A 15,252-nucleotide genomic window follows, 5' to 3' on the forward strand; every position below is an offset into this window, starting at 1 on the left:
GGGCTCCTGATAAAAGAATGAGTTTAGCTCAAAAACCTCTCTGTGTCTTGAATGCTTGCTGCCCCCTTCAGCCTTCTCCCTTATGCTATGAGGTGACCCTAGCCAGATGCTAGCACCATACTCTTAGACTTTCTAGCTTCCAAAACCATGAATCAAATAAACTTCTGTTGTCAATAAAGTACTCAGTCTGTGGTATTTTTTACATCAGCAGAAAATGGTCTGAAACACCAATGATTCATTGAGAGTAAATAAAGCAATAGAGATGCATTCAGTGTTCTGAGCATTGCAGACGGGAGCCTGTGACACAAAAAGTGTCATCTGTTATGTGTAATGTAATGGTAACAAAGTTGAAAACCACTTTCCAGAGGATTGGGGCCCCCAGAGACTTGGCTGTTAAAAGATATTTCTGAATAAGTGGTAGAACACATCGATTACATCTCTCTCCCTCTCTCTTTCCTCCCACTTTCTCTCTTACTCTTGTTCTTTGACTTCATTTTCATTTTCTTTGACTTCCTTCTTCTAAATATGTATACATAGAATCCCCAAGTTTGGCATTTTCGAAAAATAGAATCAGAATAATATATAGAGGTGCACAAGAGCAGCCACTGTGTAAATTCCAGTTATTCATTTGTTTATTTTATTTGAAACTACTAGTAGGTATATTTAGAATTATAATTATAATATGTATAGTGTGTGAAGTAAAGGTAGTGTATATAAATATATACTTATCATTTACAGCTGCACAATTATGTGATCAGCGAGGTTTAAAGTTAGCTGTAGCACATGGAAAGTCCTACTACGCAGAAAAGATGGTTGCCTAAGTTCTCCCGCCAAATTTAATAATGACTTGGCTTTGTAGCCTAATGTTTTATCTTATCTCATATTACTTCATAATTACATTTGTCTCTTCTTTCAGTAATTGATAGAACAAAAGTCAGAAAATCAATAAAATATATGACCTTTGAATGCCACTTTCAATCAACGTGACCTAAATGACATTTATAAAACATATCACCCAGCAACAGCAGAATACACATTTATTTTCACTATATATAGGACATTTACCTAGATAGAGCATATGCTAGGACATTAAACAAGACTCAAAATTAAAGCAGATTAAAGTCATATAGAGTATATTCTTTGATAAAAACATAATAAATTAGAAATAACAAAAATATGCTGACAAGTCACAAAATTTTTTAAAATTAAACAGTACACTTTTTTTTTTTTTTTGAGATGGAGTGTCTGTCACTCTGTTGCCGAGGCTGGAGTTCAGTAGTGCGATCTTGGCTCATTACAACCTCTGCCTTTGGGTTCAACTGATTCTCCTGCCTCAGCCTGAGACTCCCTAGTAGCTGGGACTACAGGTGCCCACCACTATGCCTGGCTAATTTTTGTATTTTTAGTAGATACGGGATTTCACCATATTGGCCAGGCTGGTCTCAAAGTGCTGACCTTGTGATCCGCCCACCTCAGCCTCCCAAGGTGCTGGGATTACAGGCATGAGCCACCATGCCCTGCCTAAACAATACACTTCTAAGTAATTTTTGGCTCAAAGAAGACATCACAAAAATAATTAAAAACATTTTGAATTGAAAGAAAATGAAAACATATAAACATTTGTGAGATGGAGCTAAAGCAGTCTTCAGAGAAAAAAATATAGTATTAAATGTGTATATTTGAAAAACATGAAAGATCAAATTATGATCTTGGAGGAGGCAAAACAAGGTGGCTGAATAGAAGCCTCCAGTGATGGTTATCCCTGCAGGGACACCACATTGAACAAATATCCGCATGAGAAAGCACTTTCATGAGAACCAGGCGGGTGAGTAACCACAGTGTTGGTTTTAACATCATATTTAAAAAGGAGGCACTGAAGAGAGTAGGAAAGACCATTTGAATTACCAACAACACCCCTCCCTCATCTCCTGGCAGTAGTCACATGGCACATAGAAAGAATCTGTGTGCATAGGGAGAGAGAGTGTAGTGATTGTGGGACTTTGCGTTAAAACTCAATGCTGCCCTGTCACAGAGAAAAGCAACATGGGACAGAATTCAGCCAGTGCCCATGGAGGGGGCATTTAGACCAGCCCTAGCCAAAGGGGAATTGCCCATCTTAGTGGTTAGAACCTGAGTTCCAACTAACCCTACCAACACATGCTAAAGCGCTCTCAGGCCTAAATAGACTATAAAGGCAGTCTAGGACACAAGGACTGCAGTTTCTGGGCAAGTCCACATGCTATGCTGGGCTTAGAGCCAGTGGACTTGGAGTGCACAAGACCTAGTGAGACACTGGCCAGGGTGGCCAAGGGACTGCTTTCTTCACTCCTCCCCCAACCCTAGGCAGTATAACATGCACTTCGAGGAGAGACCCCTTCCTTCCACGTGAGGAGTGAAGAGGGGAAAGTGAAGAGGACTTTGTCTTCCAACTTGGATGGCAGCTCAGCCACAGTAGAATAGGGCCAGGTAGAGTCATGTGGCCCCCTTTCCAGGCCCCAGGTCCTGGATGACATTTCTAGACAGAGCCTGGGCCAGAAGGAAGACTGCTGCATGGAAGGGAAAGACCTGGGCCTGGAAGAATTCATTATTTGATGACCAAAGGGCCCTTGGACCTTGAATAAACAGCAATTGCACCCAGGCAGTACTTGCCACAGACCCAGGATGAGACCCAGGGCTGTGCTGACTTCAGGTGTGATCAAGCACATGTCTAGCTGTGGCAGCCGTGGGAGGAGACTCCTTTTGCTTAAGAAAACAAACAAACAAACAAAACAAAAACCTTTAGAGTAAAAGGGTATTGTCTAGCAGCTTGGGCACCAATGTGGCCATAGCAGTTGTATTAAGCTGTTCTTGAATTTCTATTAAGAAATACCCGAGTCTGGGTAATTTATTGTTAAAAGAGATTTCACAGTTCTGAAGGCTTTACAGGAAGCATGATGCTGGCATCTGCTCTGCTTCTGGGGAGGCCTCAGGAACCTTACAATCATGATGGAAGGTGAAGGTTCAGCAAGCACATTAAATGGCCAGAGCAGGAACAAGAGAGAGACAGAAGGAAGGTGCTACACAGTTTTAAATAATCACATCTCATGAGAACACACTCACTCTTGCAGGGACAATAACAAGGAGATGATGCTACACCAATCATAAGAAATCTACCCCCATGATCTAATCACCTTCCATCAGGCCCCACCTCCAACATTGGGGATTACATTTCAACATGAGATTTTGGTGGGACTTCATTGCTCTCCAGACCCCCAAATCTCATGTACTTCTTGCATTGCAAAATGCAATAATGTCTTCCCAATCGTCCCTTAAAGTCTTAACTCATTGCATCATTAACTCAACATTTCAAATTCCAAAGTCTCATCTAACACAAGGCAAGTTCCTCCCAACTGTGGGCCTATAAAATCAAAAAACATCAGTTTATTCAGAGATACAACAGGTTGTAGGCATTGGGTTAAACATTACCCTTCAAAAAAGGCGAAATCAGCCAAAAGAAAGGGGCTATGGCCTCACACATATTTGAAAACCAGCAGGACAGTCATTAAATATTAAAATTCAAACATAATCTTCTTTGACTCACATCTATGGCACATTGCTGTGAAAAAGTAGACTTCCAAGGCCTTGAGCAGCTGTGCCCCCAAGTCTTTGCAGTGTTCAGTGCCTGCAGCTGCTCTCACAGGTTGTAGTTGGATGCGTCCAGCTTTTTCATGTTTTCATGTTCATGATGCAAGCTGCCAATTGACCTACCATTCTGGAGTCCAGAGGGAGGTGGCCATCTTCTCATAGCTCTACTAGGCAGGACCCAGTGGGGACTCTGTGTGCAGGCTCCAACCCCACATTTTACCTCCACACTATCTCAGTATAGGTTCCCAATTAGTGTTTCTAAAATTTATATGGAACCAAAAAAGACCCAGAATAGTCAAATGCATCTTGAGAAAACAAAACATAACAAACTGGAGTAATTACATTTCCTGACACCAAATATTACCATAGAGCTATAGTAACAAAAACAGCATGGTACTGCCATAAAAACAGATACATAGACTGAAGGAAAAGAACAAAACACAGAGATCCATAGATCTACAGTGAACTAATATTCAAAAGAGGTGCCAAAAACATACATTGGGAAAAGGATTTTCTCTGCAATAAATGGTGCTGGGAAAACTGGATATCCATATGCAGAAGAATAGAGCTAGACCCATATCTCCTGCCACATACAAAAATAAAATCAAAATGGATTAAAGACTTAAATCTATGAAACTTCTAACTATGAAACCACTAAAAGAAAACGTTAAAGAAATTCTCCAGGACATTGCCCCGGGCAAAGATTTCTTGGATAAAACCCCATAAGTACAGGCAACCAAATCAAAAATAGACAAATGGGAGCACAGCAAGTTAAAAAGCTTCAGAACAGCTAAGTAAACAATCAATTAAGTGAAAGGAAAACACAAAAAATGGATGAAAATATTTGCAAACTATCCATCTAACATGGGATATATAACCAAAATATATAGGAATATATAATAAATAAGAATATATAAGAAGCTTAAATAACTCTATAGGAAAACAATCTATTAATACAATTTAAAAATGTGTGAAATATGTAAATAGATACTGCCTGGGAGACACAGTGAGACGCCGTCTCAAAAAAGAAAAACAAAAAGACATAAAAATGGCTACCTAGTACATGAAAAGGTGCTCAAAATCATTTATCATCAGAATAATACAAATGAAAACTACACTGAGGAGGAGGCAGGACTAACTTGCAGCTCCCACTCAGATGGACAGAGTAGCATGTGGAGACTCACGCTTTTGCTCCAATAACTACGACAGGAAAATACCAGGAAAGCTGAGAGAATCCACATATCCTTTGAAGGAAGTGGCTTGCTGTTGCAGGATCTATGAGGCAGCTGAAAAACTGTGAGTACCCAAAGTATGAGAAGGGAAACCTCCAGCCCCAGACACACATCCCCACTGGGGAACCTCAAGGTCCAAATCATGTGAAAAGGATTTGACCTTACCTGGAGCTGAGACAAATCTAGAGAGCTGAGCAAACTATAGGGGTAGACAAAGCAGCAGAAAGAGCCCTGTGGGCACTCTCAGTCCCCAGGAAAATCATTCCTGACTTTGTTTCATAGGAATCCTTGGGGAGGGCTGCCAGTGGAATTAGGGACAGACCACAGGGAGAAGGAAACTTCCAGCTGAACTTTGTAACAATATCGACCGAACATGAAGTTTCCTTAACAGAATCTGTGGAAGGGGGTGAATGGGGAGAGCAGATATGAGCCCAGGAACAGTGACAGGTGGGGAGACATGAAAGCTGAAAGCCTTGCTTGCTTTCTCAGCAGTGGGTCTCATAGCCTGGGGGAAGTTCTCAGCCCTGCTCACCAGCTGCCTGGAAATAAACCCAGTGCTTTTGAGGGAGAACAGTGGGAGTGAGACTGGCATTTTGGGCTATGTGAGAGCTGGGTGAGGCCCGTAACTGCCGGCTTTTCCCCACTTCCATGGCAACCTGTATGACACAGTAGAGGCAGCTGTAATCTCCTTGGGAATGTAACTTCATTGGCCTGAGAACCACACCCTCATCTCCCATGGCAGCATCACCAAGCGCCACCCAAGGAGAGTCTGAGCTCAGACATGCCTAACCCTGCCCCAAACTGATGGTCTTTCTCTACCCATCCTCATAGCTTAAGACAAAGGACGTAATCTCTTGAGAGCTCTCTGGGCCCATCCACTGCCTGAAATACTTATACAGGTGACCCTAGCACAAGCTTGTATCCTCCCTATGCAAACACAGCTGATGCTGTCACCTCCTGGTGAAGCGCCACCTCCTGGCTAGAGGCCAAACAACACAAAACCAGCACACTGAACAAAACTACAACCAATGTCCTCACAAAGTCCACTTTACTCCCCTGCTACCTCCAGCAGAGCAGGTGCTGATATCCATGGCTGAGAGACCTGAAGACAGCTCACATCACAGGATTCTTTGCAGACGCTCCTCATTACCAGCCCAGAGACTGGTAGCTCCACTGGGTGGCTAGGCTCAGAAGAGAACTAACAATCACTGAGTTTGGCTATCAGGAAGACCCATCCCTAGGGGAAGAGGGAGAGCACCACATCAAGAGGGCACCCCATTGAATAAAAAAATCTGAGCAACAGCCCTTGAGCCCCAGATCTTCCCTCTGACATAGTCTACCCAAATGAGAAGGAACCAGAAAAACGATTCTGGTAATATGACAAAACAAGGTTTTTAACACACCCAAAATATCACACTAGCTCACCAGCAATGGATCCAAGCGAAGAAGAAATCTCTGAATTGCCAGATAAGTAATTCAGAGGGTTGATTATTAAGCTACTGAAGGAGGCACCAGAGAAAGGTGAATACCAATTTAAATAAATTAAAAGAAAATGATACAGCATATGGACAAAAAAAACTCCAGAGAAATAGCATAAGTAAAAAAACAGTCACAACTTCTGGAAACAAAGGACACACTTAGAGAAATGCAAAATACACTGGAATGTCTCAGCAATAGAATCAAACAAGTAGAGAAGAGAACTTAAAATCTCAAAGACAAAGCTTTTGAATTTGTCTAATCTAACAAACACAAAGAAAAAAGATTAAGAAAATATGAACAAACTCTCCAAGAAGTTTGAGATTATGTTATGTGACCAAACCTGATAATCATTGGTATTCCCCAGGACAAAGAGAAATCAAAAAGTTTGAAAAACATATTTGAGGGAAGAATTGGGGAAAATTTTCCCAGCCTCGCTAAAGAGCTAGACATCGAAATACAGAAAGTCAAAGAACACCCAGGAAATTCATTACAAAAGTATCATTGCCTAGGTACATAGTCATCAGATAACCTTAAGAAGAAGGAAAGAATCTTAAGAGCTGTCAGGCAAAAACATCAGGTAACCTATAAAGGAAAACATATTAGATTAACAGCAGATTTCTTAACAGAAACCCTGCAAGCTAGAAGGGACTGGTGTCCTATCGTTAGCCTCCAGAAAAAAAATTGTCAGCCAATAATTTTGTATCCAGTGAAACTAAGCTTCATAAATGAAGGAAAGACACAGTCTTTTTCCAGAAAAATGCTGCGAGAATTCACCACTACCATGTCAGCACTACAAGAACTGGTAAAAAGAGCTCCAAATCTTGAAACAAATCCTCAAAATACACCAAAATAGAACCTCTTTAAAGCATAAACCTCACAGGAATCACAAAACAATAACACAATGAAAAAACAACAACAACAAAAGTATTCAGGCAACAGCTAGCATGATGAATAGAATAGTACCTCACATCTCAAAACAAATGTTGAGTGTAAATGGCCTAAAGGCTCCACTTAAAAAACACAGAATGCCAGAATTGATAAAAAGTCATCAACCAAGTATCCGCTGCCTTCAAGAGACTTACCTAACACATGAGAACTCACATAAAATAAAAGGGTGGGAAAAAAATTCCATGCAAATGATCACCAAAAATGAGCAGGGGTAGCTATTCTTAAATCAGACAAAACAAATTTTAAAACAAAATCAGTTTAAAAAAAGCAAAGAGGGACATTATATAAAATCAAAGGACTAGTCCAACAGGAAAGTATCACAATCCTAAATATATGTGCACCTAACACTGGAGCACCCAAATTTATAAAACAATTACTCCTAGACCTAAGAAATGAGGTAGACAGCAACAGAATAATAGTGGAGAACTTCAATACTCCACTGACAGCACTAGACACAGGTCATCAAAACAGAAATCCAACAAAGAAAAAATAAACAGATATTCAGAACAAATGAACATAATAGATATTTACATTACATTCTACTCAACAACAGCAGAATATACATTCTATTCATTGGCACATGAGCATTCTCTAAGATAGACCATATGATAGGCCACAAAAAAAGTCTTAATAAATTTAATAAAATTGACATTATAGCAAGTACTCTCTCAGACCACAGTGGAATAAAATTAGAAATTAACTCCAAAAGGAAACCTCAAAATCATGCAAACACATGGAAATTAAATAACTTACTCCTTGATGATTGCTGGGCTAACAATGAAACCAAGAAGAAAATTAGAAAAATCTTTGAACTGAATGATAATAGTGACACAAGCTATCCAAAAGAGCACAAATAGACAATCTAAGGTCATACCTCAAAGAACTAGAGAAACAAGAAAAAAAAAAAACTCCAAACCAAACAGAAAAAAACAAATAACAAAAATCAGAGCAGAACTAAATGAAATTGAATCGAAAAACATACAAATAATGAAAAAAAGCTGTTTTTTTTTTGAAAAAATAAACAAAATTGATAGGCTATCAACAAGATTTAGTAACAAAAGAAAAATTGCCAACAAAAAACATCCAGGACTAGGCAGATTCACAGCTAAATTCAATCAGACATTCAGTGAAGAATTGTTACAAATCCTATTGAAACTATTCCAAAAGATAGAGAAACAGGGACCCTCTCTAAATCATTCTATGAAATCAGTGCCACCCTAAAACCAGGAAAGGGCATAACAAGGAAAGAAAACTACAGGCCAATATTCCTGATGAACATAGATGCATACTATTCTAAGAAATACTAAATAACCAAATCCAACAGCATATCAAAAGGTAATTCACCATGTTCAGGTGGGTTTTATACCAGAAATGAGGGATGATTTAACATGTGCAAGTCAATAAATAAGATATACCATGTAAACAAACTTATGAACAAAAATTATATGATCATGTCAATAGATACAGAAAAAGCATTTGACAAAATCCAACATCCCTTTACGATTAAACCCTCAGCAAAATGAGCATAGAAGGGACATATGTTAAGGTAATAAAAGCCATCTATGACAAACCACAGACAACATTATATTGAATGGGGAAAGTTGAAAGTATTCCCCTGAGAACTAGAAAAAGACAAGAATGCCCACTTTCTCCTTATCTGTTGAACATATGACTGGAAGTGCTAACAAGAGCAATCAGGCCAACTCAAGAAATAAAGGGAATCCAAATTGGTAAAGAGGAAGTCAAACTGGCGCTGTTCACCCATGATATAATCATATATCTAGAAAGCCCCAAACATTCATCCAAACAGCTCATAGAACTGATTAATGAATTCAGTAAAGTTTCAAAATACAAAATTAATATACACTAATCAGTAGCACTGCTACACACCAACAGCAACCAAGCTGAAAATCAAACCAAGAGCTCAATTCATTTTACAATAGCTGCAAACAAAAACAAAAACAAAAAACCCTAGGAATATATCTAAACCAGGAGGTGAAAGACCTCTACAAGGAAAACAACAAAACACTGCTGAAAGAAATCATAGATGACACAAACAAATGAAAACACTTCCCATGTTCATGGATAGGTAGAAACAATATTGTCAAAATGACCATACTTCCAAAAGCATTCTACAAATTCAATGCAATGTCCATAAAAATGTCACCATTATCCTTCACAGAACTAGAAAAAAAATCCTAAAATTTAAATGGAACCCAAAATTACCCACATAGCCAAAGCAAGACTAAGGAAAAAAAAAAATCTGGAGGCATCACATTAGCTGACTTCACACTGTACTGTAAGGCTATAGTCACTAAAACAGCATGGTACTGGTATAAAAATAGGCACATAGACCAATGGAACAGAATAGAGAACCCAGAAATAAACCCAAATACTTACAGCCAACTGTTCTTTGACAAAGCAAACAAAAACATAAAATGTTTTATGAAAAAAGGCCGCCCTATTTAACAAATGATGCTAGGATAATTGGCAAGAAGAATGATATGGGGTCCTCATCTCTCACATTACACAAAAATCAACTTAAGATGGATCAAATACCTAAATCTAAGACCTGAAACCATAAAATAATCTAGAAGATAACATTGGAAAAACCTTTCCAGACATTGGCTTAGGAAATGACTTTATGACCAAGAACCCAAAAGTAGATTCAACAAAAACAAAGATAAATAGATGGGTCTTAATTAAACTGAAAAGCTTCTGTACAACAAAGGAAAGAATCAGCAGAGAAAACAGACAACCCAAAGATTGGGAGAAAATCTTTGCAAACTATGCATCCGACAAAGTACTAAAATCCAAAATCTACAAGAACTCACACAAATCAGCAAGAAAGAAACAATCCTATCAAAAAGTAGGCTAAGGACATGAATAGACGTTTCTCAAAAAAAATATGTGAATGGCCAACAAACATGATAAAATCCTCAGCATCACTAATTATCAGGGAAACGCAAGTCAAAACCACTGTACAATACCATCTTACTCTTACAAAAATGGTCATAATAAAAAAAATAGATCTTGGCATGAATGTGATGAGAAGGGAGCACTTTTACACTGCTGGTGGGAATGTGAACTAGTACAACCACTATGGAAAACTGTTTGGAGATTCCTTAGTTAAATAAAAGTAGATCTATCATTTGATCCAGGAATCCCACCACTGGGTATCCACCCAGGGAAAAAGAAGTCATTATCTCCCCAAAGGAATATAAGTCATTCCTCGAAAAAGACACTTGCGTATGCAAGTTAATAGCAGCACAATTCACAATTGCAAAAACATGCAACCAGCATAAATGCCCTCAATCAATGAGTAGATAAAGAAAAATGTGGTATGTATGTATGTGGTATGTATATATAATGGAATACTACTCAGCCATAAAAAGGAATGAAATAATGGCACTCGGAGCAACCTGGTTGGAATTGGAGACCACTATTCTAAGTGAAGTAACTCAGAAATAGAAAACCAAACATCACATAAGCTATGAGGACTTAAAGTCATAAGAATGATACACTGGACTTTGGAGACTCAGGGGATAGAGTGGAAGGGGGTGAGGGATAAAAGACTACACGCTGGGTTTAGTGTACACTGCTTGGGTGATGGGTGTACCAAAATCTCAGAAATCACCACTCAAGATCTTATCCACGTAACCAAATACCACCTGTTCCCCCAAAACCTTTTGAAATTGAGAATAAAAATGAAAAGAAGAAGAAAAAAAAACACATTGAGATATTATGTCACCTCATTGAAAATGGCTTTTATCCAAAAGTCAGGCAATAACAAATCCTGGTGAGGATAAAAAGGGAATGAAAAGAGAGGCCCTGTACACTGTTGGTAGGAACATAAATTAGTACAACCCTATAGAGAACAGTATGGAGGTTCCCAAAAAAATAAGTAAATAAAGCTGCCCTATGATTCAGGAATCCTACTATGTGGGTATTTGTCAAGGGAAATGAAATCTGTGTGTCAAAGAGGTATCTGCACTCCCATGTTTATTGCAGCACTATTTACAATAACTAAGATTCAAAAGCAACCTAAATGCCTATCGACAGACCAATGAATAAAGAAAATGTGGTACATACACACAGTGGAGTACTATTCAGCCATAAAAAAGAATGTGATCCTTTCATTTGCAATAACACAGATAAAAATGAAAAACAAGGTGAAAGGAGAGCAGACATGTCATATGGTGAGAGAGGGAGCATGAGAAAAAGGAGGAGTTGCCAGGCTCTTTATACAACCAGCTCTTGCATTAACTGATAGAGTGAGAACTCATTCATTACTGCAGGAATAGTACCAAGTCCTTCATGAGGATCCATCCCCATGACTGAAACAACTTCCACTAGGCCTGACCTCCAACGTTGTGTGGATGATATTTCAATATAAGAATTGGAGGAGACAAATATTCAGATTATATCATACTTTCTATTTTGGTTCCTCTTTGTGGAAGAGGCACATACTAGCTGCATCTAATCAGCCATCTTGAACCTCACCTCTGTTTTGTTTTGTTCTTTTACTTTTACATCACCATTTACATTACTGGTTTCCTTCTTATTTATTATAATAGGGGTGAAATTCAAGGCTTTCAAACACATTCTTAAGATTTGATTTATCTACTTTGTAGTATTTCTGATTTTTTTTTTTTTTTTTTTTTTTGAGACGGAGTCTCGCTCTGTCGCCCAGGCTGGAGTGCAGTGGCGCGATCTCGGCTCACTGCAAGCTCCGCTTCCCGGGTTCACGCCATTCTCCTGCCTCAGCCTCCCGAGTAGCTGGGACTACAGGCGCCCGCTACCACGCCCGGCTAATTTTTTGTATTTTTAGTAGAGACGGGGTTTCACCGTGTTAGCCAGGATGGTCTCGATCTCCTGACCTCGTGATCCGCCCGCCTCGGCCTCCCAAAGTGCTGGGATTACAGGCGTGAGCCACCGCGCCCGGCCAGTATTTCTGATTTTATGAACATCTCATGGTAGTATTAGAGTGAATGGAGAATACGGGGGACTGCTTGAAGTATAGAAGAGTTTATTGTTATTTTATCTCATACATAATTCCTGTGGGGTTTATAATTGCATCTTCCCTATTTTGAGATGATATAGTATCTGGATTTTGAGTTGAGAGTAGAAATTGTGGTTGGAGGCATTCTATTCTTTCTTACATATTTTTGGCTGAATATTACATGAAAAAAACATTGCTGTATTGAGTATTTTATGAACTGACCTCTGGGCTGACTTTTCTTAATTCTCTTCTATTTGAAACCATATTACCTAGAATCAAACTGATTTGCCACTTACCAGTTCTATAATATTTGGCAAATGACTTTATCTATCTGTGCCTCAACTTTGCCATTGATTAAAAGGGGGTAAAAATGACAACCTACCTCAAAGTGTTGTTATAATAATTAAATCGATTTATATATAAAGCAATTATAATGGATAAATGATTCAGAGAAAGGACTATATATCTGTTTGCCATTAGTTTTATATACCTATAATCAGTGTTTATTTCTCAGGCACTTACATCTATATTCTATTATTAGATTATCTGCCAGTCCTAGTTTTCTCTCTCTCCATTTAACAAAATGTTAGAGAGACCATCTTAATTGCTACTAACCAGATGTCATTTTGAAGAAGGCATGCCAATAAGAGGCCAGCAATAAGATGTTTCACAGTGGAATATAAAACTCCTCCCATTAGCAAATTTGTGGCAGAAAAATTAAAATCCAAATATTACATGTCCTTATTAACTAATGTTCACATATCTAAATACTTTGAAGGTTTAAGTTAAGAGAAATTCAGGCTCAGAATTCTTCCTTCAAATTTCATAGTCTATTCAGTTGCAATTAGGGGTTTCCAAAAGATTCTTAAATTCATCAGCTGGAGCCTGGTCTGTACTACTTTATGGGTGTATTCCTTTCAAAGTCTCAGAATTCAAAACAAATTTTCTGATGTGCATCACTTTTCAAGGAATCCAAAGATTTAACATAATACAAAAGCTTATCATAGCATTGATCTAACATGAGCAGACCAAATTCTGGTCTTAGCATTACCGAGATATCAATAGATTTATAGTAGTTATCTGGAATCCATGAACCATGAACTCAAATCACTTTGAAGAACTAGCCCATTCTGGTAATAATTTTAAACTATGAATCACTTTCTCTCTTCTCAGAAAGTGGTATTGGAGGCCCTTTTTTGTAAAATTACATATTTTTCATCAATGGCTCTTACTTTAGGAAGCTTTCCTACATATACAAATTTATTATTATACTTTGGCTTTGAATTCTGAGTTATTTACTACTAATTGATGCATTGAGCATAGAGCCGAAGTTTCTGTGCTCTCTTTGCAGCGTTTGTGGTTCTTGCCATTGTCCCTTCCTAGGAAAATGCTCAGGCCAAAGAAAAGTGTTCTATTTCTTCCATATTTTTGAGGGGCTGAGCAAACTTGGATGAGTTTTTAACATGTCAATCTGTTTCTTGTGTTTTTTCTTCCTTTATATACATAATTAGTTTTTGTTGCTAGATTTGACTGTATTTTTCCTTATTCTTTTTATTCCCTTCTGGCGTATTTATTTTCCCCATATAACTCTAAATTTTGTACTGTGAATTTTTCTATGGGCCATATAAGCTCAATGAATTCTGAGTTGGCCAAAAGCATCGTCCTGAATTCCTGATCTTCCTCGCTGCTAAGCTGAATAATCCCAGGCTTGAGATATCCTTCCCCCTCCATGTATTTTTTTAAACATGGTGTAAAACAGGCTAGCCATACTCTCAACTAAGATAAATACAGAGAAAGCAGCAAGCATCTGTCCAGCCTGTCCTGTAATGACCATCTTCAGACAAATCAAAGAACTGGTGATAAAAAATTTCCCTTTATATAAGAATCACAGCTAATAAATTGAAGGGGAATGAATGATACTCAAATGCAAGAGAATGGATCAAATCAAGGACAATCAATGTCTGCTAATCCATTAGGTACAAGATTATTTGAACTTTAAGACAGAGATATGAGACTGACACAACTTGAACCTGTGGTTCAACCTTTACTAAGAATATACAAATGGAAATAATTGAAACTATATAAATGTATTAAAAGTTTTTGTACCTGAATCTAAATGTATCTCTACATATACCCCTTCTCCAACTTATGAGATATTCAGGAGATAGAGGAACATGTTAAATAGTATTACATTTTGCAGAGTGTGAAAAATTACACCAGAGAGATGACCTGGTTTCTACAACATATAAATGGAGAAAAAAAGAAGTATAGGAAGGAACTGCTCCAGATAAAAAGAGATCTCAGAGAATATCAATCCAATTCAGTGTGTGACTTCGGTTGGACTCTTATTAAAATGAACAATTTTTGGAAAACTTTTGGGCAAAGTAAAATGTGATCTGTGTGTTTGATGCTAATAAGAATTTTATATTAATAATCAATGATCGAATAATTACATATTAAATGAAAAGCCATTTATTTGTTTAAAATAATGATTAACATTGAATGTGTTCATGGTATTTTTGTTAAGTTTACAAAATCCATATGTGTTACAAATACTAGTATGTTTATATTTGACATGATTGGATTCTCAAGAGTTACTACATAATGCTCTAAAAGAAAGGGTGGTGCTGGGGTTGGATGGGGGGCCAAATTAAACAAATATTGTTGGTTCTGGGTCCGAGAATGTTTATTTCACTACTGTCTCTATTTTTGTGTATGTGAAAACTTCCATTGTAGAACATTAATTTACAGAGGCACAGTGTATAATCCACATGAATCCAGGCAGGTATCCTCTCCTTGTACAGTTTCCTATATGAGTCCTAAATACAGTTCAAACATCAAAAGGAACTGAATTTTGGGGAGCCTATTGATACTGCAAACCTAGGCTTTTCATTAATAATTTAAAGCTAATACCTTAGTGTTCAATAGATTGGGTGACTGCATACTATATCATCCAGGCAACACATG

The 15,252-nt window shown here is 38.0% G+C and overlaps 1 long non-coding RNA gene across 1 annotated transcript in view, besides 2 other annotated features; it reads left to right on the forward strand.

The window, feature by feature from the left end:
• The window catches only part of NRXN1-DT (NRXN1 divergent transcript), a 1,375,317-nt gene that overhangs the window by 757,267 nt on the left and 602,798 nt on the right, over nt 1-15,252 (forward strand). The window lies entirely within an intron of this gene.
• Nucleotides 1,806-2,307: an enhancer, noted in NCBI's record as "H3K27ac hESC enhancer chr2:52018811-52019312 (GRCh37/hg19 assembly coordinates)". NCBI's record gives its function as "activates a minimal SCP1, AML or CMV promoter by ChIP-STARR-seq in primed H9 embryonic stem cells {active_cell/tissue: H9 hESC(primed)}" and the evidence as "EXISTENCE:reporter gene assay evidence [ECO:0000049][PMID:30033119]".
• Nucleotides 2,308-2,807: an enhancer, noted in NCBI's record as "H3K27ac hESC enhancer chr2:52019313-52019812 (GRCh37/hg19 assembly coordinates)". NCBI's record gives its function as "activates a minimal SCP1, AML or CMV promoter by ChIP-STARR-seq in primed H9 embryonic stem cells {active_cell/tissue: H9 hESC(primed)}" and the evidence as "EXISTENCE:reporter gene assay evidence [ECO:0000049][PMID:30033119]".

This window comes from Homo sapiens, chromosome 2 (assembly GCF_000001405.40).
Source record: "Homo sapiens chromosome 2, GRCh38.p14 Primary Assembly".
Taxonomy (NCBI): Eukaryota; Metazoa; Chordata; class Mammalia; order Primates; family Hominidae; genus Homo; species Homo sapiens.